We start from the raw sequence: 26,525 nt of genomic DNA, 5'->3' as shown, positions 1-26,525 counted from the left end.
ACCTGGAAGAGGGCCCTCTGCAGAACTCACCATGCTAACACCCTAACCCTGGACTTTCCAGCCCCTAGAACTATAAGAAATAAATTTCTTTCTTTTATTTTTTTTTAAGTTAGGGTTATGCCGGGCATGGTGGCTCACACCTGTAATCCCAGCACTTTGGGAGGCTGAGGCAGGCGGATCACCTGAGCTCAGGAGCTCGAGACCAGCCTGGGCAACATGGAGAAACCCTGTCTCCGCAAAAAAATACAAAAATTAGCCAGATGTGGTGGCATTCGCCTGTAGTCCCAGCTACTTGGGGGTCTGAGGCGGGAGAATCCTCAATTGCCTGAGCCCAGGAAGTTGAGGCTGCAGTGAGCCATGACTGTGCCACTACACTCCAGCCTAGGCGACAGAGTGAGAGTCTGTCTCAAAAACAAACAAACAAAGTTAGGGTCTTGCTCTGTCACCTAGGGTGGAGAGTACAGTGGTGCAATCATGGCTCACTACAGCCTCAATCTCCTGGCCTCAAGCGATCTTTCCCTCCAGCCTGCCAAATTGCTGGGATTACAGGCATGAGCCACTGAGCCCGGCAGAAATAAATTTCTGTTGTTTATAAGTCACCTAGTCTGTGGAACTGTATAGCAGCCTGAGTTATTCATATTTAGGATTCTCATTTGTGTTTTTCTTTTCCTTCGTTTTCTTTTTTATCCATTGCTTTTTACTGTAGTCACATCATTTGTTTTGTTAAAAAGCATAACAATATCTGGGTGCTTCAAGGAAAAAAGCTGTCTTAGATAAGATCTTTCTTTTAAACTTCAAGATTGATTTCAAGGTTCTTTTTAATCTTTCAAGTTAGTACTGATAATCATATCAATTAATCAGAATAAGCATTTAGAGATATTCTTTTAAGCCTTCACGGGAATTAAACTAACCTATTTTACAACTCAAAATATGTACCTGCTTTGAAAGCTGGTCCCAATATTTGAGAAACAAATCCTTGCAAATATTATTGGTTCTCATAGTATTTCCAAGGAATTTAACGGCACATTTTATTCAATGTTTTTTAAAAAAAATTTGCTATACTGACAAAAGCCCCATTATCCTCGCCCTTCGTTCTTAATATGAAAATAAGTTAAAAGGGAAGGAAACACAACAGTCCACAGACGATGTCCAGTTCAATATTTTGAGAGGATTCTAAGCCTCTGACGAAGAAAACTCTTCCCTCCTTTTCCCCAGTATCTCTGCTATCAAGAGGTTAGGAAAATGGAATCTGCAATGTATATATCAATTATTTTCTCAAAAAATCTTTAGCCCCACCTCTTGAGCACTACCCAAACAAGTAATGAGTGAAACTCGGAGTCACGGTAAATACAAAGAGAAAAGACTTTAAGAACAAGGAGTACTTTTACATTGGTTTAAGAAGCTGAACAAATTAATTTCTGTACAGTCATACAATAGATACATTTTCAGACAAGACAGTCAACTTCAGAAAAGTCAACTGCAGCCACCACTAATGAAGGGCAAAGGATGCAGGCCAATTTCATTGTCTTTTAAAATCATATACTTGGATATGTGCCATAAGAGTCTTGGGAGACCTATATATATAATGAAAGTAGAAAACTCAAATTCAAGGGAGTCATACACACAGAGTTATTTAGTACAAACACTTAATCACAAATAAAAAATGGCTTGGGGTACCTATAACAATGGCCAAAATCAAAGATCCACTGGCATATCTGTGTAGAGGGGAAATGACGTGAATCTTTTTCTTCCATTTCCCTTCAGTGATAGGAATTAGCCTGCCACTCATAAGCCCTCTGGAATTTGATCACATCACTGCCTGTTCATGATGCATACAGGAAGCCCTAAAAGTACACTTTCTTATTATCTATAATGAGAAAGAGTGGCCAAACGGTGGACAGGCACCACAACAGGAAAGGGTATTCCAAATAACAAACACACTAAATACTCCTTTTAAAAATCAAACACCTTTAAATAACAATATTTTCAATTTCTTTAGCCGATTTAGAGAATTCAAAAGTCCCTTCTGGCTCTTTAGCATGTTCATTACAATTAAGTCAAAAATTTAATGTCATTAAAGACACATATGAGTCTATAAAAGTATATTTTAAATATTTAATAACCAAAATGTAAAGACTCACCAGTGCTACTTTTCCTGCTGTTGACATCAAATATACCAGACGGAACTTTCACAATACTGCTGCCCCATGCAGGAGGTTCAGTAGGACTGTGAGGCTCTGGACTAGGTTGTGAATGTTTTGCCACAATAGCAGAGGCATCACACACCTCTGGAAAAAAATATTTGGATGTTATCATTCCTACTTTTGCCAATATTAAACAGAAACCATATATTGACTTTTAGATATTGTATGTATTTTTCTCCAACAGTCAGTGTGTCTATTTTACTTTAGACACAAAGTAAAATAGACTGTGTCTGGTTTACTTTATGCCATAAATGCTGCCAATATTAACTGAAATAAATGCTTTGTTTTAGCATTCAATAATCCTAACATAAATGTTCTTTAGTGAATCAATTAAGTCTCTGGCCTTCAGTTCTCCTTCTCATCACTTGGCAAATGGAGAGGGGCTTGTTTCTCCATAACTCTGGAGTATAAAATAAATAACATTAAAGAAAGTACACTTTTGTGATAGAGAACAGGAAGAGTGTCTTATTCCATAAGCCAAAATATTCCTCCATGTTTTCATAAAATGATTACAACAAATTATCTCTGCCTTAATGAGTCCTATAAAAACCGGGAAAAACCACATAGACTTTTTTTTTTTTTTTTTTTTTTTGAGATGGAGTCTTGCTCTTGTCGCCCAGGCTAGAGTGCAATGGCACAATATTGGCTGACTGCAACTTTCGCTTCCCAGGTTCAAATGACTCTCCTGCCTCAGCCTCCCCAGTACCTGGGATTACAGAGGTGCTGCCACTATGCCTGGCTAATTTTTGTATTTTTAGTAGAGACGGGGTTTCGCCACGTTGGCCAGGCTGGTCTCAAACGCCTGACCACGTGATCCGCCCACCTCAGCCTCCCAAAGTGCTGGGAATACAGGCGTGAGCCACCACGCCCAGCCCACATAGACTATTTTTAACCTACCAATGAAAACTATGCACCTAGATATTTGAAGGACTGCTAGTGAAAGAGCCTTTTAGAATTAAAAAGGGCACTAAAATAGAAGTTTTAATAACTCAAAGTTTAGTCCTGGTTCTGTCAAAAGTAGCTATGTAATTTTGGCAAATACCTCAATGGGTCACACTTCCCTGGAAAATTATGGGCTGACCTACAGAGTCTCTAAAGGTATCTTACAGCCAGGTGTGGTGGCTCACACCTGTAATCCCAGCACTTTGGGAGGCTGAGGCAGGAAGATCACTTGAGCTCAGTAGGTCAAGACTAGCCGGGGCAACATGGTGAGACCTTGTCTCTACAAAACATAAAAAAATTAGCTGGGTGTGGTGGCACGTGCCTGTGGTCCCAGCTGACAGGGGACTGAGGCAGGAGGATCATATGAGGCCAGGAGATAGGGCTGCAGTAATACATGTTCTCGCCACTGCACTCAGCCTGGGCGAGAGAGCAAGACCCTGCCTCAAAAAAAAAAAAAAAAAAAGAAAGAAAGAAAGTTCTCTTAAATTTTAAAACTTCAGAGACTACCAAAATCTACCTTATGTAACAGTACACAGCATCTTAGGAGCCAGACCTTACATTTGTGAAAATAATCATCAAAGCTATCAACTAAGATAAACTTTTAATTATTAATAATACAGGTATTATTCTAAGTAAAGTTCGTAAATATCAGTACTTAACCTTCTGTTTGCATTTTTGTTTTAGTTATCAATTCTCTTGCTGCCTGTTCTTCAGGCACATGAATTTCTGCATCATCCTTTATAAGTTCATCCTTAGACCCGTATCCTTGGTCAGACTGACCACCTGTTAAAAAGAATGCAGACTTACATATAAATGTTTTCATATACTTATAATTCATATATAAAAATCACAAGAAAATTCCACTGATCTACACAATTACGGTTAGACAAAAGGAAGACAAGAAAGCACACAAGGAACACAGAACATTTTAAAAATAATGATAAGCCGCAAAGAACAGTAGAAACAGGAACATCAAAGACTAAACACATTTGGAAGCACTACATCTTAATTTCTTCATCTGTAAATTAAAAAGATTTAGACAAGATGTTTGGAAGTCTCTTTTGGAGACCGTGTCTACAGAATGCTAACTTCTCTGTAAGAATAAAACACACATATATCTGCTTACTTTTGCAAAAAGTAATGCAGGCAAAATAAACCAGAAAACAGTAAAGATGGTTACCTACCAGGGTTGGGGGGAAATAAGATACAATGAATAAAGAGGGAGAAAACTTCTCTATGTATGGCTTATGGTATTGCTTTTATCTTTGGAGATAGAATACACTTCTGCATGTTAAAAAAAAAATAAAATCAGTAAGATAGAAGGGGTGCAACTGAATGCAAATGGAAACAAATGAAGCCAACTGTATTTCACATGAATAACATAATCACACTGAAAGGGCCAGGGGAGGACTAATCCAAGTAACTTTGAACACATTATTTTGAGTATCTACCCTAAGCCTGGGAGTAACAGACAAATCCTGAACATCTTAGTAGGTTTGTTTTTGACAGAGAAATGGGTGTGACAATTCTGAAATTATTTTTTATGTACAGTACACGTATTTTCTAGCTTAGGAAAAAAGTTTAGAAGCAGTAACACTATGTTAACACTGAGCCCAAATCTTGGCTTCTAAAATCTATTCCCCATGAAAAAGAACCTGGGATCCCCGAAGAAATGGCTGATTCCAGAGCTCAGACAGAGAAGGTACAAGATTGAGCTAGAACATTCTGTTGTGCCAAAAAGGTAGTGCTCAGAAACATAATAGGAGAATATCTAAAGGACATAAAAACTAGCTTAAAGGAGCTCCCACTGGCCAACACGGGGATAATCTGAGGACCAAATAAGGACAGTAATGAATTATATTTCAATGAATAAAACAGGAGTACATCAGTCCATACTGATAATAAATAAGAAAAAAATAGAGAATGGAGAATTATCTATATACTACAATATCATCTTCTAAATATGAAAACAGTGATAGAGTTGGCAAAATCACCACTTTGTAGCCATCATAGTAATGACTGGTTCAGGCAAGCATCATCAATGGATGCCAAATTTAAAAGAGAAAGTGTCATGAGAAAGGATATTAGCACATTGTCTCAGAGTGTTCTTTCAAAAATAGCTTATCATCTGAGAGGAAAAAAATATTATAGTAACTATCCACAGAGAAACCAGACAATAGTGAGACTAGGTGATCCAAATTAATATCACCGATGAAGGTCAGACTGTGTGTGCCTGTAGGACGTGACAACCTGAGAAGGAGTCAACATCATTTACGTAGCACACCCATGGATGCATAACCTAAACACTAGGAAATAACAGACAAACCTAAGTTAAGAAACATTCCACAAAATAATTAAAATGAATTCTTCAAAAAGGCCAAGGTCATAAAAGATTTTTTAAAGGCTAAAGAACTATGCCAGGTTAAGGAAGACTAAAGAAAGGGGGTTAAAGTACCACAAGGAACACTGGGATAACTGACAAACTTGGAATATAAATTATAAAGTGGTATATCAATGTTTTCCTGAATTTGGTAACCAAAGTGTGGTTATATACAAGAGAAAATGCCACTGAAATAATAAAGAGGTAAAAGGGCAAGATGTATGTAACCTGCTCACATGACTTAGGAAAAAGAAATGGTATGTGCATGCATGCAGAATGAAAATAATAAAGGAAATGTGGCAAACTAAAAACAAGGGAATCTAGATAAAAGATATGAGAGTTTTCTGTATTATTCTTGCAACTTTTCTGTAAGTTTGAAGTTATTTCAAATATTTTAAAAGTCTTTTTTGACTTTATACTTCTATACTTTAAAATCAAAACTAAGATCAGGTACTAGAGAAAACAGTATAAAGATGTCAATAAAAGACACATAAAATAACATATGCAGTACCTCCATTTTCCATCACTTATTACACTGCCACTCAGACTCTGGGTTTGCCATACAACAAAAGAATTAAATGTCTTTAAATACTACTACTTAGAATGACTAACTTCAGTCACTTTTTTACTAGCTCCCTCAAAAAGTCTGGTAAAGCAATGTGGTGCCATGAAATGAACACTAGGCTGGGACCTGGGTGAATTAAAACCAAACATGCCCCTAACAGCTAAGTGACTCTGTACCAGGTACCAAGTGGAAAGATTCCACGAGATAATCCTTAATGAAATGAGCAACTTAAGCACCTGGGCTGAAGACTCCAAAAGCATCAAATGGCATCGCCAGAAGTTCTACAGAGACACACCATCACTGCAAATTCAGTATGTGGCATTCGGTCATTTGAAATGCAGCTAAAATATATATAAGGGGGACCTGAAGGTTTGTGCCCAACTATTGAAGTCTTTATACCAATTACCCAGCATTACTAGGAGATTGGTATTTCCATTAAAGGAGTAAATTGCCTCTATAATGAGGTAAACTTAAAAATCTGAAGGAATAAGGGGAAAGGTGTTTATGTATTACTATTACTATTCCTGGTAAACGTTTTCATACAAAAAAATATATTTTTTTGCTTTTTATACATGAAGCCCATTTCTTCTACAAGTATCATGAAAAAAATACTAGAGGAAATAAAATATGGTGGCTTTAAAATAAAAGTTTCATAAAAATTCTTATTTGTTAATATAATATACAAACATGATGGCAAACTGAGGAAGTTAATTACAAACAGGATTGTAACCTGTAGCTTTATGTTGACTTTCAAATTTACACATGCTCCTGTAATTATGTGAAGGTTGTTTTTAGCACAAGAATTCAGCAGATAAGTTTTGGAAAGCAATGGCCACACCACCTTAACAGCTGAAACAATTAATTCTTCAATGCCTATAACACTATTTGTCACACTGATGCTACAAACCAACCTCAAAATAAGAATTTTAGCAAGGCATAATATATTTTCAAATAAGATAACAAACATGCTTTGCAAACTGACCATAAAAAGTTAGCTGGATATTTTCAAGAGTCTATATATGATTACATTTATCTGAAGGAGAAAAGGCAAGAAAATGAAAACTGTTTACCACTCAAAACAAACTTAAAATACAATGAAAGGTCTTTCCCCCACCCTTGCAGGTCAGCAAAATTTAACCTAATAAATGGGAAATTACCTGATGTGGTTAACATTCAAGGGTAGAATTAATGCACACGTGTATCCATAGCTTCACGTCATATAAGTCTGTCTGCACCCCACACCATGACAGCCAAGGACAAATGCAGCACCAAGAAACAGCACAGAGCAAAAAGCAAAGCAACAAAGAGCAGAGAAAAGGAAACTTCAGTCATTGAGACAAGTTCATCAGATGAAGCACAGGAATTAGACCCAGAATTCTTTTTAAAGGAAGGCTTGAGATATTAAAAACAACCACAACAAAAAAACAACACAAGAAGAAGGATATGTAACACACATATATCTGCACAACGTGCTACTTTAGTTACACTTATTTCTAACTTCAGAGGAGAGGGATTATTCCCATGGCTATGTACATAAAAGCAGCTTCAATAACTTCTCAGATCTTAAAAAATGTAACTTAAAGAGAATACTTTTTCTCATTGTGTGACTTCCTTCCTTCCCTCTTTAATATTCATACTCTTGAAGTTTTAAGATACATTTTCTATTTAATTTTTTAAAAAGATTTGCAAGTTGTGTCACTAATTTTCAAGTTCCTTAGCTCATGATTCCTAATTATAGCATACACTTTCACAAACTAATGATAAACAAATACAAAGAAGCATCATGCTAGAGCACTGTGCACAGCACTCCCATACTAATTTTGTACTATAGGAAATAAACAGAAGTCATCTGCAGACTCGTATTGTTTCTCTTGTAAGCATACAGTACTTTTAAAGTAGTCATATCACACAAACTCAAGAATGGAAGAAGCTTTTTGAAAAAGGAAAGATTTAACATGAGAGTAAGTGAAGGGTTAGTAAAATCTGGATTTTAGTACCTGTGCTAGAGTGATTATCAATGGACTCAAGCCTGATTAAATCTCTGACGAAGACTGTGTGCTCCCCATTGTTAGCATCATTAGAACTATCCACACTACCGTGGCTCACCGTGTCCCCATCACTTCCACCTGTGACATTTTGAAGAGCTAAAGATAAGGACAATAGCAGTTCAATAACTCATGCATTGATAATCTCTTAAACTAAACATGATTGACCCACAGTTCATTTATAGTTGCAGAACACTTTCTAAATTTCTGGAAAAAAACAAAAATAATTTTGGACTAAGACAATCTGTCTTTAAATGTATGTGAAAATGTCTACCGGAATTTAAGTTTTCTACTTCACATAGCTAAAAATTCATATGCCTATAAAGCTCATGGTTCAGTAAGGAATTATATTTCTAATCACATGTATTACCTGATATTGAGGAGACCTGTGACCTTTGCACAGTCTTTTTAAGCGGCTGCCTAAACTGTGCCAAGCCACGTACCACATTCCGTACCTTCGTCCATAAGAAAATACCACTGCGGGTACTGCTAGGCCACGGGCTCTCCAAGACTACCTAAAGGTAAAATAAGGGTAAAAATAATGTTCATTAGCAATATCTGATTTTAAAAATACATACATATATGTGTGTGTGTATGTTTATATATATATATACACAAATATAAAAAGTTATACTGGCCAAGAGGTATATTAAAAAATGCTAAACATTACTAAACATCAGAGAAATGCAAATTAAGACTACAATGAGATATCTTATCACCTCATACTTGTTAGAATATTGTCAAAAAAAACAAAAGATGTTGATTAAGGATGTGGACAAAAGAACCCCTACACAGTCTTGGTGGAAATGCAAATTAGTACAGCCATTAAAAAGATTCCTCACAAACAGTATAGAGTTTCCTCAAAAAATTAAAACTAGAGCTACCATATCATCCAGCAATCCTATTACTGGGTATAGATATGCAAAAGAAATGAAATCAGTATATTGAAGAGAGATCTGTACTCCCATGTTTATTGCAGCATTATTCACAATAACCAACATATGAAATCAACCTAAGTGTTTATCAATGTATGAATGGATGAAGAAAATGTGGTATATATACACAACGAGATACTATTCAGCCTGAAATAAAAAAGGAAACCCAGTAATTTGTGACAATATGAATGAACCCAGAGGACATTATGGTAAGTGAAATAAGCCAGGCACAGAAAGACAAATACCGCAAGATCTCACATATATATGAGATCCAGGAAAGTGAAACCCATAAAAGCAGAGACTAGAAGTATGGTTACCAGGGGCTTTGGGAGGTAAGGGGAAAGGGGACACTGGAAGATGTTGGTCAAAGGATACAAAACTTCAGTTCAGTAGGAGAAATAAATTCAAGAAATCTATTGAACAACATGGGGACTACAGTTAATAACAATGTATTGTATTTTGAAAATTTCTAAGAGATTAGAAGTGTTCTCACCACAAAACAATGAAGGCATATGTTAATTATTTAATAGCTCGATTGAGCCATTCCACAATATACATATCTCAAAACATCATATTGTACATGATAAATATATATACTTTTTGTCAATTTTTAATAATTATAAAAATTATTAAAAAATTATATCCCAAAACTTCCTTTAATAGGAGTTTCATGAATAACTAAAGGTATACAAAATAATCATTCTTAATAAACACCACATCTTGCCTAATGTCGATCCTACTTACCTTATTATAATAACCATAAGTAATAGCATTAGGCTTTATCCTAGCAGTTTTCATTTCAAATAAGACTCTCACTGCTAAAACAGGATGACCCCAAAGTCCACAAAGCTGCATCACTACTCGATAGCACACCTAACAAAAAAAAAAAATCAGTGTCAGTAATTAGTATACTAATCTATCTGTGAATTGTAGAGATTTTACTGAATTCTTTCCATGAAGTTATTAAGCAGTATTTTCTCCTTTGTTCTGCTTTGAGCATCTTAGCAAATTATTTTTAAGACCTATTCAGGCTGGGCACAGTGGCTCACGCCTCACAGCACTTAGGGAGGCTGAGACGGGTGGATCACCTGAGGTCAGGAGTTCGAGACCAACCTGGCCAACATGGTGAAACCCCATCTCTACTAACAGTACAAAAATTAGATGGGCATGGTGGTGCATACCTGTAATCCCAGCTACTTGGGAAGCTGAGGCACGAGAATCGCTTGAAGCCAGGAGGTAGAGGTTGTAATGAGCCCAGATCACGCCACTGCACTCCAGCCTGGGCAACAGAGTGAGACTCTGTCTCAAAAAAAAAAGAAAAAAAAAAAAAAACCCAAAAACAAACCTATTCATTAATGCAAGTATCATCATTATTAACCATTTCATATAAGACATATGTGTCCATGTTCCATTTGTTTGAGTAACTAAATCTATACAAAGAGAAAGACTATTACTCCTCATAATTTGAGAGGTAATTCATTTCTAAAATCAAGGATAGAGGCCGGGAGCAGTAGCTCATGCCTGTAATCCCAGAATTTTGGGAGGCCCAGGCAGGCAGATCACCTGAGGTCAGGAGTTCGAGATCAGCCTGGCCAACACAGTGAAACTCCATCTCTACAAAAAAATATATACAAAAATTAGCCAGGCGTGGTGGCACGCACTTGTAGTCCCAGCTACTTTGGGAGAGTGAGGCAGTAGAATTGCTGGAACCCGGGAGTCGGAGATTGTAGTGAGCCAAGACTGCGCCACTGCATGCTAGCCTGGAGGAAAAGAGTAAAACTGTCTCTAAATAAAAAATAAATAAATAAATATAAATAAAATCAAGTATAATTGAAGTCTCTCTCTCCCCAATCACTATGCTTTCCATTCAATGCCAAAGGAATTAAAGACAGTATCTCCAAAATGCCTACAGAACAAATAGGATTTGTCTTTAAAAGAATGAGAAGACAGTTAAATATACTGTAACATTATTAGCAAAGACTTTTCATTTTTAATTCTAATCTAGTTCAAAACATCATTTATAGTTATCTTAACACCAAAAATAATTTTTAAAGGGAAAAACAGCATTGGAAAAAGCTAAATAAGTGCCTCAGTTTCCTCAGCCATTAGCTGGATAATATCAGTATCTACTTCTTAGGATGGTTTCTAAGGCTTGAGAGAGAAAATGCATGAAAATGTCTAGTATATCATTCACTGAGTGCTTACTATGAACTAGGCACTTTAAGTATATTAACTGATTTAACTAACCTTCAAACTAACCTTATGATGAAGGTGCTAACTATTATTATCTACCTCAGTGGTTCTCCAGGAGCAATTTCGCTCTCCGGGAACATTTTTGATTGTCATGATCTGTGCAGGGAAAGAGAGGCATACAGTTGGTAGAGGCCAGGGATGCTACTAAACATCCTACACAATGTACAAGACAGGCCCCTAAAATAAACAATTGTGTGGGCCAAAATATCAATAGTGCCAAAGTTGAGAAGTTCAAAGCTACATTTTCTAATAGATAATCCAAAACACAAATAGGTTCCATAGGCCAGGTGCAGTGGCTCATATTTATAATCTTGGCACTTTGGGAGGCCAAGTAGAAGGATGGCTTGACACCATGAGTTTGAGACCAGCCCAGGTAACATATCGAGACCCCATCTCTACAAAAAATAAAACTAAAAAAATTAGACGTGGTGGTGTGCACCTGTAGTCCCAGCTACTCAGGAGGCTGAGGCAGGAAAATCACTTGAGCCCTTAAGTTCTAGGCTACAGTGAGCTGTGACAGTGCCACTGCACTCCAGCTTGGGCACGAGTATATATATATATTTAAATATAAATAAAAAATATATTTTTAAATAGATTATATAACTCACCTTAGGACACAGGTCCTAAGTGGAGAGCCACTTACTAAAAGCCTATTCCCTATCTGCTCCCCAATAAAGTTATATTAAGAATAAAATGAAGCCAGCCACAGTGGCTCATGCCTGTAATCCCTGCACTTTGGGAGGCCAAGGTGGGGGTTCAAGAGCCAGGAGTTCAAGACCAGCCTGGGAAACAAAGTGAGACTCCATCCCTTAAAAAAAAAAAAAAAAAAAATCAAAAACAGAAAAACCATATGCCAGGTGCCATGATCACACAACCGCACTCCAGCCTGGGCGAGAGAGGAGTGAGACTCCATCTCTTTAAAAATAAACAAACATGGCCGGATGTGATGGCTCATGCCTGTAATCCCAGCACTGAAAGCTGAGGCAGGCAGATCACTTGAGGCCAGGAGTTTGAGACCAGCCTGGCCAACACGGTGAGACCCCATCTCTATTAAAAATACAAAAAAAAAAAAAAAAAAATTAGCCAGGTATGGTAACATGTGCCTGTAATTCCAGCTACTCGGGAGGCACAAGAACTGTCTGAACCCGGGAGGCAGAGGTTGCAGGGAGCCAAGGACGCACTGCTGAACTCCAGCCTGGGTGACAGAGTGAGACTCTGTCACAAAAACAAATCAATAATTAAAATAAAAAATAAACAAGTAATATGCACCAGCTCCATGAAACAGTAATAGTTTTACCTTTCCTGCTTAATGAAAATGCTTGAGCACACTTTAAAGCAACTTACACCCAAATTTTATTAGAAGTACAAAAATAAAATTTACCTTAGAAACAATGTCAATTTGTTATACTTGCCTCATCTAAGGGATCCACATCTGTTTTCCTCATCTTAATAAGTACATCATATGCCTGCTGAAGTGCTCTGACTTTAGGATGAGAAACTCTAACATAGGCCGGAAGACAAATAAACCATAAACTGTAACAATGACTAAACAGACACTTGGCCCACTGTGGTGGATTTGTATAACATCTCTTCGCCAATTTATGAGCTGTTTTTATTTCCTAGAAAGAGAATAAAATATTATGATATTTACTAAAATTCATTAGGGTGAGGGGAGAAGTGAGAAGGAAAAGGGAGAGGAGAATTTAAGTAAAACTTGACCCCCTAAAATCAAGCACTTCAAAGTTGACTTTTGTGAGTGGCTTCCTGCTTATCAGTGTTAATGGTTCCCCTGAACATTCATTTACAGTAATACTTCATACTATACCAAATCTATTTGTTAGCAAGCATGTGTCTCTTAACAGAGTAGAAATTAAGAGCAAAGATCATTCATCTTTTTGTAATAGAATGGCTCATGTCTTTTACAAAGAAGGAACTCATTTTTGATGGGTGAAAAAGTGATATTCCTCTCACTCTTCTCTTCACTAAAGTTTAAGATGCTCTAGGCTATCTCCTGCCAAGATTTCCACTCTGTCTTCCCAAGCTACAGTCTATGTTAACTCCCTCACTGACAGACTCCTTAAAAAAGACCTGTTTCTGGCCAGGTGCAGTGGCTTATGCCTGTAATCCTAGCACTTTGGGAGGCCAAGGCAGATGGATCACGAGGTCAGGAGATCAAGACCAGCCTGGCCAACATGGTGAAACCCAGTCTCTACTAAAAATACAAAAATTAGCCGCGCATGGTGGCATGTGCCTGTGGTCCCAGCTACTCGGGAGTTTGAGGCAGGAGAATTGCTTGAACCAGGGAGTGGGAAGTTGCAGTGAGCTGAGATTGTGCCACTGCACTCCAGCCTGGCGACAGAGCGATACTCCATCTCAAAAAAAAAAAAAAGGACCTATTCCTTTGCAGTCAACATAAACTTTCCTAATAGTTTGATAGTCATGTTTTCTAGTTCTGGTTTTCATTCAGATTTAGGTAGAAGAGAAAATTAGGTATCAAAATCATCTGGTGAGTTTTGGTGTTTTCTTTGTTATTTTTTTTTAAGACAGAGTCTTGCTTTTGTCGCCAAGGCTGGAGTGCAATGGCGTGATCTCAGCTCACCGCAACCACTGCCTCCCGGGTTCAAGTGATTCTCCTGCCTCAGCCTCCTGAGTAGCTGGGATTACAGGCACCCACCACCATGCCCAGCTAATTTTTTTGTGCAGATTTTTAGTAGAGACAGAGTTTCACCATGTTGGCCAGACTGGTCTAGAACTCCTGACCTCAGGTGATCTGCCCACCTCAGCCTCCCAAAGTGCTGGGATTATAGACGTGAGCTGCCGTGCCCAGCCATCTGCTGAGCTTTACCAAACTATATATATTCCCAGAAACTACAGAACCTATCACATATATCAGAATGCCATTTTATGCTCTGCACTGAAGATTCCTTGCTAGTCTATGTTCTAAATAAAAAAATCTTGGGGCTGGGCATGGTAGCTCATGTATATAATCCCAGCACTTTGGGAGGCCGAGGCAGGTGGATCACAAGGTCAAGAGATCGAGATCATCCTGGCCAACATGGTAAAGCCCTGTCTCTACTAAAAATACAAAAATTAGTTGGGCGTGTTGGTGGGCGCCTGTAATCCCAGCTATTCAGGAGGCTGAGGCAGGAGAATCGCTTGAACCTGGGAGGCAGAGGTTGCAGTGAGCCGAAATCGTGCCACTGCACTCCAGCCTGGATGACAGAGTGAGACTCCATCTTAAAAAAAAAAAAAAAAAAAAAAAACCAACTTGGTATATTAATTTTACTTTTGAGCTCGATCTCCATGACACTTCAGTACATATTTAAAAATACATGCCCTTGTTTTTCTAAGATCCTATGGTTCTTTTCTTTTCCAGTTAGCCTGAAAAAAAAAATTCTGCTATAAATGAGATTTAGAGGCTGAGTTAGCAAAATTTTCTCGTTTTAGAAATTTGCCTTTTGTTAGCTGGTAACAGTAAAAAAAAATTCTTTAGTATTCTCTTCAGACAACATTGAAAGAAATATGAACTGTATGAAATTAGGAAATACCTCAGGATATCTCTAGGATTTAGGGGACTATCCCATAAATTAGTAAAACCTGAACTAAGATTTTCATTGTGAAATTTTCCACATTTTAAATATCCCCAAAATGTCAGTGTATGTATAAAGGATGTTTAATTTTAACTCATACGTAACCACAGCTTAGTTCTTTATACCTAAATCACATATAGTAGTAAAGCAAGATGTCTAGGTTGTCCTAAGTTAACTCCCTTTGGATTGTAATACTTGGAATAAAGTATATTTACATTAGCCATTAGGGAAATGCAAATTTAAAATACAACTTCTTACTCACTAGATGGTTATAACCAAAAAGACAAACAATAACAAGAATTGACAAGGATATGTTGTGAAACTGGAACCCTCATACACTACTGGTGGGAATGTAAAGTGGAGCAGCCACTTTGGAAAACAGCCTGGAAGTGCCTCAAAGGGTTGAACACAGAGTAACCATCTGACATAGCAATTTACTCCTAGATATATACCCCAAAGAAATAAAAACATACATCCATATTAACACTTATACACAAATGTTCATTTGCAATATTCATAATAGCCAAGAAGTAGGAAGTATCCACATGTCTATGAATAGACAAATAAAATATGGTATATCCACACAATGGAATATTATTCAGCAATAAAAATTATTACTGATATATGCTGCTACGTGGATGAATCCTGAAATGTTACACTAAATGAAAGATGCCAGTCACAAAAGAATACATATTATGCAGTTCTACTCTTGAAATGCTCAGAATAGACAAATTTGTAGACAGAAAACAGACTTGTGGTTGCCTAGGGCTGCTGGGGATTGAGAATTGGGGTTAATGGCTAAAGGATGCAAACTTTCTTTTGGGGTTGATGAAAATATTCTAAAATTAATTGTGGTGGTAGTTGCACAAACCTGTAAATATACTAAAAGCCACTAAATCATACACTTTAAGTGGGTATGCTGTATGGTATATGAATTATATTTTAATTAAGTTTTCTAAAACTTAATTTTGCTCTTGTTGCCCAGGCTGGAGTGCAATGGCTCAATCCTAGCTCACCACAACCTCCGCCTCCCAGGTTCAAGCAATTCTCCTGTCTCAGCCTCCCCAGTAGCTGGGATTACAGGCATGCAACCACCACACCCAGCTAATTTTGTATTTTTAGTAGAGACGGGGTTTCTCCATGTTGGTCAGGCTGGTCTCGAACTCCTGACCTCAGGTGATCCACCTGCCTCGGCCTCCCAAAGTGCTGGGATTACAGGGGTGAGCCACTGCGCCCGGCCAATTCCTACAGATTATCTTAAAGCATAAATATAAGCATTCAAAAACTTCAGCCTTGATTGATAGATAGACAGATAGATAGATAGATAGATAGATAGATAGATAGATAGACAGACAGACAGACAGACAGACAGACACATATATAGACTTTTTTTGAGATGGAGTTTCACTCTTGTCACCCAGGCTGGAGTGCAGTGGCACAATCTCAGCTCACTGCAACCTGCATCACCCAGGTTCAAGCGATTCTCCTGCCTTAGCCTCCCGAGTAGCTGGGATCACAGGCGCCTGACACCACGCCCAGCTAATTTTTGTATTTTTAATGGAGATGGGGTTTCACCATGTTGGCCAGGCTGGTCTCTAACTCCTGACCTCAAGTGATCTGCTCACCTCAGCCTCTGAAAGTGCTGGGATACAGGCGTGAGCCACCATGCTTGGCCCAGACTTGATATTTTAAGTAGGCTTGCAAGAAATCTAGTTAAATTCAATAACAACCAAAGTGAGTCTTCAAATGGTTGTTGTGGGTGATCATTCTAAACTATGAGCTGCATATCACATATACATATTTTACATCTTAAATGAACATGTATTAGATAAAGAATATCTGACCTGTTTAGTTCTCTTAGCCATGAGAGGTGGACTCTTTGTAATGCTATTCCCAGTAGGGTGTCTACTAAAACAAAGTTTCAACTCCTGCGGTCTGTCAAAAAGCTTAAGGTCCAGTCTTGGAAAGTATTTGTAACTAAAATAAAAAAAAAAATAGAACTGCTGATTTAAAACACACCAACTCTTCATATTATTCCAGCGTTTAGGCAAATATTTCTAAACTTCAAATAGTATCCAACATTATTTTAAATGCTTATATAGAAAAAATACTTTTTCAAAATTTTTAAATGATATAACATACAGAGACTACCTTCATGAAAATTTTGTCTCTTCCCCACCCTATTTGTTATTTTCAATCAATCTCTAAAACACAGAAAACTCTGATATCTTACTTAAAGGGAGAAATAACTCTTTCAAGATAATCCATGTATTCAATAATTTATGTTTAAAAAAATTTTAGTATACTTCATAATTTTATGTTTTTCTTCATAAAATTACCTTGCATAGGTATTTAAAATAAAAAAAATCCATAAAATTTTTATTTTAAGGATGTACCACAATTTAAGCAGTTTTTCACTGCTGGACATTATTAGGTTGTTGGCTGTTTCTATATTTCTCCAATTAAATATTTTCATATGTATATCTTTGTGAATACCTTTGCTTAATTTCATAGGACAAATACCCAATAATAGAATTTGCTAGGTCCATGTTTATCAAAAGAATTAAAATTATTATAATTAATATCAAATTATTTCAAAAAAGATTATACTTAAACATACATTCTAACTACTAGCATAACCTATTCTCAATCTCAAAGGTTTCTATTCATCATTTTGGTTTGCATTTCTTTGAATGCAAAAAACCATAACATATTTTTATATTATTGACTTTGGATTTCTTGGAAATTGTCTACTTATTTCTTTTGGCCAATTTTCTTCCAGAATATAGCGCCTTTCCATATTTGATTTTATCTTGTTTGTCAATATCTGGATTCCAATTTCTTGTAGTTAAGCCAAAGCAGAAAAGAATTCTATAGTTAACATGAAATCAAAATAGTATTTAATCAAGCCATTCAATCCCAGATACATTCCTCATTCTGATCCAGTCCTCTTGATATTATACATTAATTCTCTATTTTGGGATGTACTTACTTTACTTTCTATTTTAGAAATTCTTTTAGAAATGCAGCCTAAGAAAATAACAAAGATATAGATAGCAAAGAACTACAAACAAATCCATGAGGCTAGTTAAATAAATCATAATAAATGCATACAATGTGGTCATTACAAATGATAAGGCACAAAAATATTTAATGGCATGGGAAAATGTTCAGACCACTAAAGGCAAACATAGATTACAAAGAGAATCTACCTGATGAACTCATACATGCAATACATACACACACACATCCACATGATACATACATACCTACAATTGTTAAGAGACACAAGTATTGGTGCTAGAATGATGTATTAGTTTTCCATTTTGGTTTGATTTTCTAAGTTTATTAAATTTATAGCAATAAAAAAACTACAAAATCCATTCTAATTTCTTAAAAGAGTCACATCCAAATCCTATCCTTTATCTTAATAAAGAATAAATTCCTGGCCCTCTACCTTAAGTTTTCTTGGTAAATTACTAATTCATAAGAATTTCACAGTCTTTGTTTCAAAATGAAACTCCCAAAGGGAGCAGGGAGCCTCATAAAAGTATCATTTTTCTTCTTCAGAATTGAAACTTTTAAAGATTAAAATACAAACACTAAGGTAAACAATGATCAACATCTGACAATACCATCCAATTCTTAAATTATAACACCTAGTGGCATTTCCATAAAATATTTATCTACATTAGTTCACTGAACTAATACTGAAAATGAGTTTCACAAAAGACTAATATACATATCTACTAATAAAAATTAAAAGAAACTGATAGGCTGTGCCATTAAGCTCTTTTAAAACTTCCTACTACCTGTACTTTGGTGACAGGTCCTTTCCATCATCAGGAGGTGGCTCTGGCGGCATTATAAATACAGTATGCTCACTTTTCTGTGAATCATCTAGTTCTATCAATCTGGTATCTTCTGCTGAATCAAAATCAACCTGAAAATCATTATTTTTCCCCAATTAATTTGCATACAAACAAGATCTAATTCTGAAATTTCAACCCTTAAAATCTAAGAAAAACATACCTTATCTGTTTTCTCTGTGCCTTTATCAGGAAACAACTAGAAAAAAAGAAAACAGATTCTTAATGAAAATGTCCACTATGAATTTAATAGACATTTTTATCTTACATTCTGATTTAGAAAAAAACTACCCCTTTTCAGTACCAGCTGATACAAAACATGCACAGTATATTTTTAGGCTGAATACATACTCTTAGGCTAAAGCATAATTTTTTACTTGTGGCTATTAGGATAGAAAACTATTTTGATTAGTTGTTTTGTAAACCTTAAGACAAAAGATGACCAATCACAAGGTTATCTGGCTTCTCAAATAAAAAATTTCATTATTATTAAGCCCCTTTATTAGTGATTGACATTAAACTTCTCATATAACTGGAAGATACTGGAATATCAATTTTGTAAATAAACAAAAATGTTGAATAGTTTTAATTATATCCCTGGAATTTTGGATCACACTGATAGGAGAAAATTATTTAAATCTTCTAAGGCATATGAATCATGAGGGGGCCATAAAAATTAATGTCATAATATTCAACTTTTTTTGGATACAATCTCAAATGTTATATAATATACAGTTTGCATAAACAATTGGCCCCAAGATCTACTTAGCAAAAATAAGAATTATATTAAAAGTTAGGAAAAATTATAACTAAGTCAAGAATCAATTTTAACTTCCTTAGGATGGGTGGGTAAAGCTTTAAAATTTAACGTATTTCCACCCTCCATTAGAACAAAAGAAACATATTAGGCAAAAGAATCTGGAAAGACATTAAAACAAAAGAACATAGAACTTCTATTACCCATAAAACTAAACATTTTTTAATTAAAAAACCTAAATCTTAAACTAAATCTTATTCATTTAAATTAAAAAAATATAAACTCACAAGGCTCAAGAAAATGTTCTTAGTTTTACAACTCAATAGTTGTAAAACGAAAGTGAGATTTAAAGAGAAAATTTACTGGCTGGGCATGGCGGCTCATCCTGCAATCCCAAGGATTTGGGAGGCCAAGGCGGGAGGATCACTTGAGCCCAGGAGTTTGAGACCAGCCTGGGCAATACAGTGAGACCTCATCTCTACCAAAAATTAAAAAAACTAGCTGGGCGTAGCACATGCCTGTAGTCCCAGCTACTCAGAAGGCTAAGGTGGTAAAATCACTTCAGGCAAGAAGTTCAAAGTTGCAATGAGCTATGATCATGCCACTGCACCCTAGCCTGGGTAACAGAATGAGATGCTGTTTCAATCAATGGATCAATGAATAAAGAATAGAAAAATTGGCTATATGTGGTAGAAACTTGAAACCACAAAGAATTTTATTCATATATTCAGCCCAGAATCGGTAACACATACACACACATACACAACCCTACTCTGTTTTCCTTATATCACTCTAGACTAACAATAACAATGATAATTACACAGGTAAGGCAAACTTTTTTTTCTAAACACTAGTATAAGTACAAACTTTTACCTTTTCTATGCAGTCATCAAAAAATGCTAATCCAGTATCTTTATCACTTACAAAACTGCATTCTTCAATGAAACGAATAAAAATCTGTGTTTTGGATAAAAGGGTATAGAATTTTGCATAGGCACGATCTCGACTTTTTAAAAATCCTGAGGAAAACAAAATATAATTAAATTCAAATTTTAAACTGGAATTCGATATTATAGGAAACATTAAACTTGTACTTATCTATATTACATTCTCTTTATATATACATATATATATCCATATTTAAAAAGAAGCTTCTATAGGTTGAGTATCTCTTATCTGAAATGCTTGGGACCAAAAGTGTTTCAGATTTCGGATTTTTTTTTTTAAGATTTTGAAATATTTGCATGTGCACAATCACATATCTTGGGGATGAGACCCAAGTAAACAGGAAATTCATTTATGTTTCACATATACATTATACACACAGTCTGAAGGGAATGTTATACAATATTTTCAATGATCTTGTGCATGAAACAAAGTGTGTGTTAAGTACTTACGTGTAGAATTTTCCACTTGTGGCATAATGTCAGCCCTCAGAAAGTTTCAGATTCTGCAGCATCTCAGGTTTTGGATTTTTAGATTAGGGAAGCTCAACCTGTGGTAACTGCATATATAGCTCCTTCTGCCTAATTAAACCACGAAAAATACTTCTATCAAACTCTTCACTGAAATCTAAATCCCCTATAAGGAACCTCCAGCTCTACAACTTTTAAGTAGAAATTTCTCTGATACTCTGCATACTCTTGAGTCCATGGTCAATTTCCAAAGAGTCAATGTCCTTCCTCTTTAATGTTGCAAGACCATTATTTCTGTATTGTGTTTTTAAAATTTCTGCTCATTAAAGTTTCAAGCATCTGACTATTCCACAATTTCCTCTATTAATCGTAGACATCTATTGATTTCAGGGACACTCCTTCATTCACTGAAGACCAAGGCATCTGATTCAAGGTCTCCTCCTTTCTAATTCCTACCACCATCATTCTTCCACACCCAGAAGCACAAACCATGAAAACACTTTAGATTCTTCTTCATTCCTTTTTTTTTTTTTTTCCAGACAGAGTCTAGCTCTGTCGCCCAGGCTGGAGTGCAGTAATGTGATCTTGGCTCACTGCAACCTCTGCCTCCCAGGTTTAAGTGATTCTCCTGCCTCAGCCTCCTGAGTAGCTGGGATTACAGGTGCCCATCACCACGACTGGCTAATTTTTGTATTTTTAGTAGAGACGGTTTCACCATGTTGGCCAGGCTGGTCTTGAACGGACCTCAGGTGATCAGCCCGCCTTGGCCTCCCAAAGTTCTGGGATTACAGGCGTGAGCCACTGCACCTAGCCTCTTTTCTTTTAAGAGATGGGTGTCTTGCTATGTTGACAAGGCTGGTCTCGAATTCCTGGCCTCAAGTGATCCTCCCATCTCAGCCTCCCAAAGTGCTAGAATTACAGGCATGAGCCATCATGCCCAGCCTTCATTCCTTGATTTTCAGTGATCCTATGCTCCATCCTACCTCAATCACCAACTTCAACACACAGTCACAGTCCCTTGACTTTCCTTGCCAGCATTCAAAACAACATTGCCTCTCAAATCTCTTTTTCACATCACTCCCAGCCCATTAGCTCTGCCTATCTGGTCTCCTTAATTAAGTATTTCTACTAAGTGTTTTAGGGTTTTTTGGGTTTTTTGTGCAGGGAGCAGAGAGGGAAGGCTCATGGAAATCTCCAATCCACTGGCCCCCTTATTTTTTTTTTTTTTTTTTTTGAGATGAAGTCTCACTGTATTGCCCAGGCTGGAGTGCAGTCAATCTTGGCTCACTGCAAGCTCTGCCTCCCGGGTTCATGCCATTCTCCTGCCTCAGCCTCCTGAGAAGCTGGGACTACAGGCGCCCGCCACCACGCCTGGCTAATTTTTCACTGTGTTAGCCAGGATGGTCTCCATCTCCTGACCTCGTGATCCGCCCACCTCGGCCTCCGAAAGTGCGGGGATTACAGGCCTGAGCCACCGCGCCTGGCCTCCACTGGCCCTTTTACTTCTATGTACATCCTCCCATCTTCACTTCTTTCTCCGTCCAATACTGATTCCATGCTATATCCATCATTTCAATTACTGTTTTGTCAATACTCTCAACCCCTCTGCTCTTTTGTCTTTTTGGTTAAACCTACCTAGCATAACCCAGCTCTGGAGGAATGTACTACTTGCCTTCTCTGGATCTGCATTAGGGTGGCTGAGCACAAGTTAAGGGGAAAAAAAGTTCCACAACTAGGCAGATCAGAAGCACTTATACCTTCATCCCTCACCAACAACCCTACTACATTTCTGGAATCAATTTAATTTTCCTCTTCACATGTTTTCACAACTATTTCCAATTTGTATGCGCTCTCCCTTCATGTTTTTTGTGCCCCCTCCGCACCCCGAAATGAGCATACTTCAGTGCAATGAAAATGCAGATCATTAAATAGAAACTATGTACACTATCTCACTACATAATTTATGACTCTTTAACAGCTATCCTTTATTCCTTCTGCCTTTTTACAGTGGATATGTCCCTCCTCCTATCTAAGGACAAACCATCACATGACTTCAGGATTCCAGCCCCTTCCAGTGTTCTCAGGATAAATCTCCCTCTCTATTAGCTATTTCTCTTTTTTTTTTTTTTTTTTTGAGATGGAGTCTCACTCTATTACCCAGGCTGGCGTTCAGTGGCGTGATCTCGGCTCACTACAACCTCCACCTCCCAGGTTCGAGTGATTCTCCTGCCTCAGCCTCCTGAGTAGCTGGGACTACAGGCATGCGCTAATTTTTGTATTTTTAGTAGAGACAGGGTTTCGCCATGTTTGCCAGGCTGATCTCAAACTCCTGACCTCAAGTGATCCACCTGCCTCAGCCTCCCAAAATGCTGGGATTACAGGCGTGAGCCACTGCGTCTGGCCTCTATTAGCTATTTCTCATCAGCATACTCAAGTCTCTTTTTTCCATCTAAAAAACAAAAACAAAAACAAAACAAAACAAAACAAAAAAAAAAACCTTCGATCTGCTCCTTCCCTTTTTTCTGTTGTTTTACTTCTTATAAAGGGCATGGCCATTCACTTGGTTGTTAAAGGCAAAAACCTCAAAGGTGCTCTTGATATCTCCCACTCTACCTTACATTCCATATTCAATCACCAGGTTCTACTCAATCTAATTCCTAAAAAAATCACTCTTCTATTCACACTATCATCAATTAATCCAGGTCACCTCTAATAATCCCTAGAACCAATGTGACAACTTCCTAATTAGTAGATCCATGCTTCAATGTCTCCAGTGCAATCTCTGTATGGAAGCCAAGGAGATTCTTCTTTTTAACATTTCAAAGAGTGACTTTTCAAAAAATGCAAATCTGATCCTATTACCTAATGAAATATCCTTTACAGGCTTCCAATTACTCTTAGGATAAAAACTGAAACCAGCACTAATCCTAAAAGATCCTGCATAACCTGGTTAATGCCACCATTTCAAACATGGTTTTCTCTGCAGCCTTTCTTTCTTTGATGCTGTGGTCCTGACTGCCATCCCTTTTAGATACTAATTAGTAGAGAAAAGCTTAAATAAAATAGAAATAAATTATTCTCCACAAGTTATAATGAAAGGCTTTCTTTCCTTCTAGTGGATCCAGGCAATGATCAGCAAAGGCTGCTAGACCAAGTAAGTCAAAGGCTGATGGGTGAACTACAATGAATGAGTGAGGGTAACAACACTTTAAACCTATTAGGAACACTAAAAGTAGGACAGCCAGACATGTATGTGCCTCATAAGATGATGCAATAGGAAGAAGTGAGCACCACGTATTTTGGCACTTCTTGCCAAGAGAATTAAACCTGAATTTAACCAAGCCCCTAGATCTGCACTGTTTAATTCAGTAACCACTACCTTCATATGGCAATTTAGCACTTGAAATGTAACTGACCCAAATTAAGACACACTAACTAAAAAATACATGCCAGAATTCAAAGATGTGGGCCGAGCGCAGTGGCTCACGCCTGTAATCCCAGCATTTTGGAAGGCCGAGGCAGGCAGATCACCTGAGGTCAGGAGTTCGAGACCAGTCTGGCCAACATGGCTAAACCTCATCTCCACTTAAAATACAAAAATTAGCCAGGCATGGTGGTGCGCGCCTGTAATCCCAGCTATTAGGGAGGCTGAGGCGGGAGAATCACTTGAGCCTGGGAGGCAGAGGTTGCAGTGAGCCAAGACTGCACCACTACATTCCACCTGGGCAACACAGCAAAGACTCTGTCTTTAAAAAAAAAAAAAGATGTTTGTGAAAAAAGTAAAAGATTTCATCAATGATTTTAAAAATCTGACTACATGCTGAAATGCTACTATTTTCCCCCTATTTTTTACTTTTTTATTGTGGCTACTAAAATAATTTAAAATTTTATATGTGGCTTACGTTATATTTCTACCGGACACTGCAGCTCTTGAACCTACCACAAGTTTACAGGAATACAAGTGGCAGAAGAAATGGTAAATAACAACATAAGGATAAATTAAGCCAAAATCACATATACAAAATCCCTAGTTAATTCCTATTGCTTTTTTTGGGCCCAAACTTAAAAGTAGCACACTAAAGGATACCTTAGGACACTAATATTCCTTGTTATTTCTTCAAGGAATATTTCTCTGACCTAACTAGCACTCTCACTGTAACCAATACTTTCCTTCGAAACACACTTATTAAGATAGTTAGTATTACATTTTTTTCTTGTCTAATGTCTGTGTCCCCTAGTAGACCAAATGCTGGACTGTTTACAATAAAACTTTAGGGCCTAGAAACTGAGTAAGTATCTTTTCAAATTCCTTTAGTGATGTCACTTCCGTACAATCCATATTCTTCATCTGGCATTTATAATTACCCACAATCTGAGCCTAATCTTATTTTCAGCCTTATCTTCCACAGCACCTCTAAAGCTCATCACTCTGGTCAAATTGTACCATCTAATCTTTTTTCCCAAATGTGCTGTCATGAGTGAAACTGTGTCCCCCTCAAAATTTATATATATATATGTATATATATATGTGTGTATATATATATGTATATATATATGTGTGTATATATATATGTATATATATATGTATGTGTATATATATGTGTGTATATATAAGTATATATATATGTGTATATATATGTATATATATGTGTGTATATATGTGTATATATATACACACAAATGTTTATATATACTATATATGTTTATACATATGTTTATATATATACATATATAAATGTGTATATATATATATACATATATGTGTATATACGTGTATATATATACATATATTTTTTTTTTTGAGATGAAGTTTCACTCTTGTTGCCCAGGCTGGAGTACAGTGATCTTGGCTCACCGCAACTTCTGCCTCGCGGGATGAAGCGATTCTCCTGCCTCAGCCTCCTGAGTAGCTGGGATTACAGGCATGCACCACCATGCCTGGCTAATTTTTGTATTTTTAGTAGAGACAGGGTTTTGCCATGTTGGCCAGACTGGTCTCAAACTCCTGACCTCAGGTGATCAGCCTGCCTTGGCCTCCCAAAGTGCTGGGATTACAGGCATAAGCCACTGCACCTGGCCCAAAATTTATATATTAAGTTCCTAGCCCCTAGTACCTCGGAATGTAACTATTTGGAGACAGGGTCTTTAAAGAGGTAATTATGCTAAAATGAGGATTATTGGGTAGATCCTAGTTCAGTAAGACTGGTAGCCTTGTAAGAAGAGGATATTTGGACATAAAACAAACACTGAAGGAAGACCACATGGAGAAAATACCTATCTACAAGCCAAGGGAAGAGGCTTCAGAAGAAATCAAACCTGCTAACTACCTTGATCTCAGTTTAACCTCCAAAACCACGAGAAAATAATTTCTGTTGTTTAAGCCACCTAGTCTGTGGTACTTTGTTATGGCAGCCCCAGCAAACAAATCCGCAGACCTTGTGCTTTTCCTCTTGAGGCTATTTCCATTTTGTTATTACCATGAATGATAATAGCTGTTATCATGAATATTTTAAAGTACTTGTACTAGCACAATTGCTTCACATATATTTTCTCATTTAATCTTCACAACC

General features: G+C 37.0%; 1 protein-coding gene across 39 annotated transcripts in view; it reads right to left on the bottom strand.

The window, feature by feature from the left end:
- DENND4C (DENN domain containing 4C) overlaps positions 1-26,525 on the bottom strand; it is a 143,769-nt gene that overhangs the window by 29,361 nt on the left and 87,883 nt on the right. For 20 of the 39 annotated variants that reach the window (NR_169842.1, NR_169854.1, NR_169849.1 and 17 more), the window contains 10 exons: positions 20,414-20,559; positions 18,947-18,982; positions 18,727-18,857; positions 16,759-16,891; positions 12,737-12,943; positions 9,816-9,944; positions 8,507-8,651; positions 8,089-8,235; positions 3,807-3,929; positions 2,142-2,288 (listed from right to left, as the gene is read on the bottom strand). Coding sequence is in view for 25 of the 39 variants with exons in the window: in NM_001386047.1 (NP_001372976.1) it covers positions 2,142-2,288; positions 3,807-3,929; positions 8,089-8,235; positions 8,507-8,651; positions 9,816-9,944; positions 12,737-12,943; positions 16,759-16,891; positions 18,727-18,857; positions 18,947-18,982; positions 20,414-20,559 (1,344 nt within the window). In the remaining 14 variants the exon portion in view is untranslated. Of the gene's footprint in view, positions 1-2,141; positions 2,289-3,806; positions 3,930-7,248; positions 7,321-8,088; positions 8,236-8,506; positions 8,652-9,815; positions 9,945-10,252; positions 10,371-12,736; positions 12,944-16,758; positions 16,892-18,726; positions 18,858-18,946; positions 18,983-20,413; positions 20,560-26,525 lie in introns of all 39 variants that reach the window. The other 19 variants (NR_169853.1, NR_169846.1, XM_047423584.1 and 16 more) reach the window with 9 other exon arrangements.

This window comes from Homo sapiens, chromosome 9, assembly GCF_000001405.40.
Source record: "Homo sapiens chromosome 9, GRCh38.p14 Primary Assembly".
NCBI lineage: Eukaryota > Metazoa > Chordata > Mammalia > Primates > Hominidae > Homo > Homo sapiens.
This window is presented reverse-complemented; position numbering and strand designations above follow the sequence as displayed.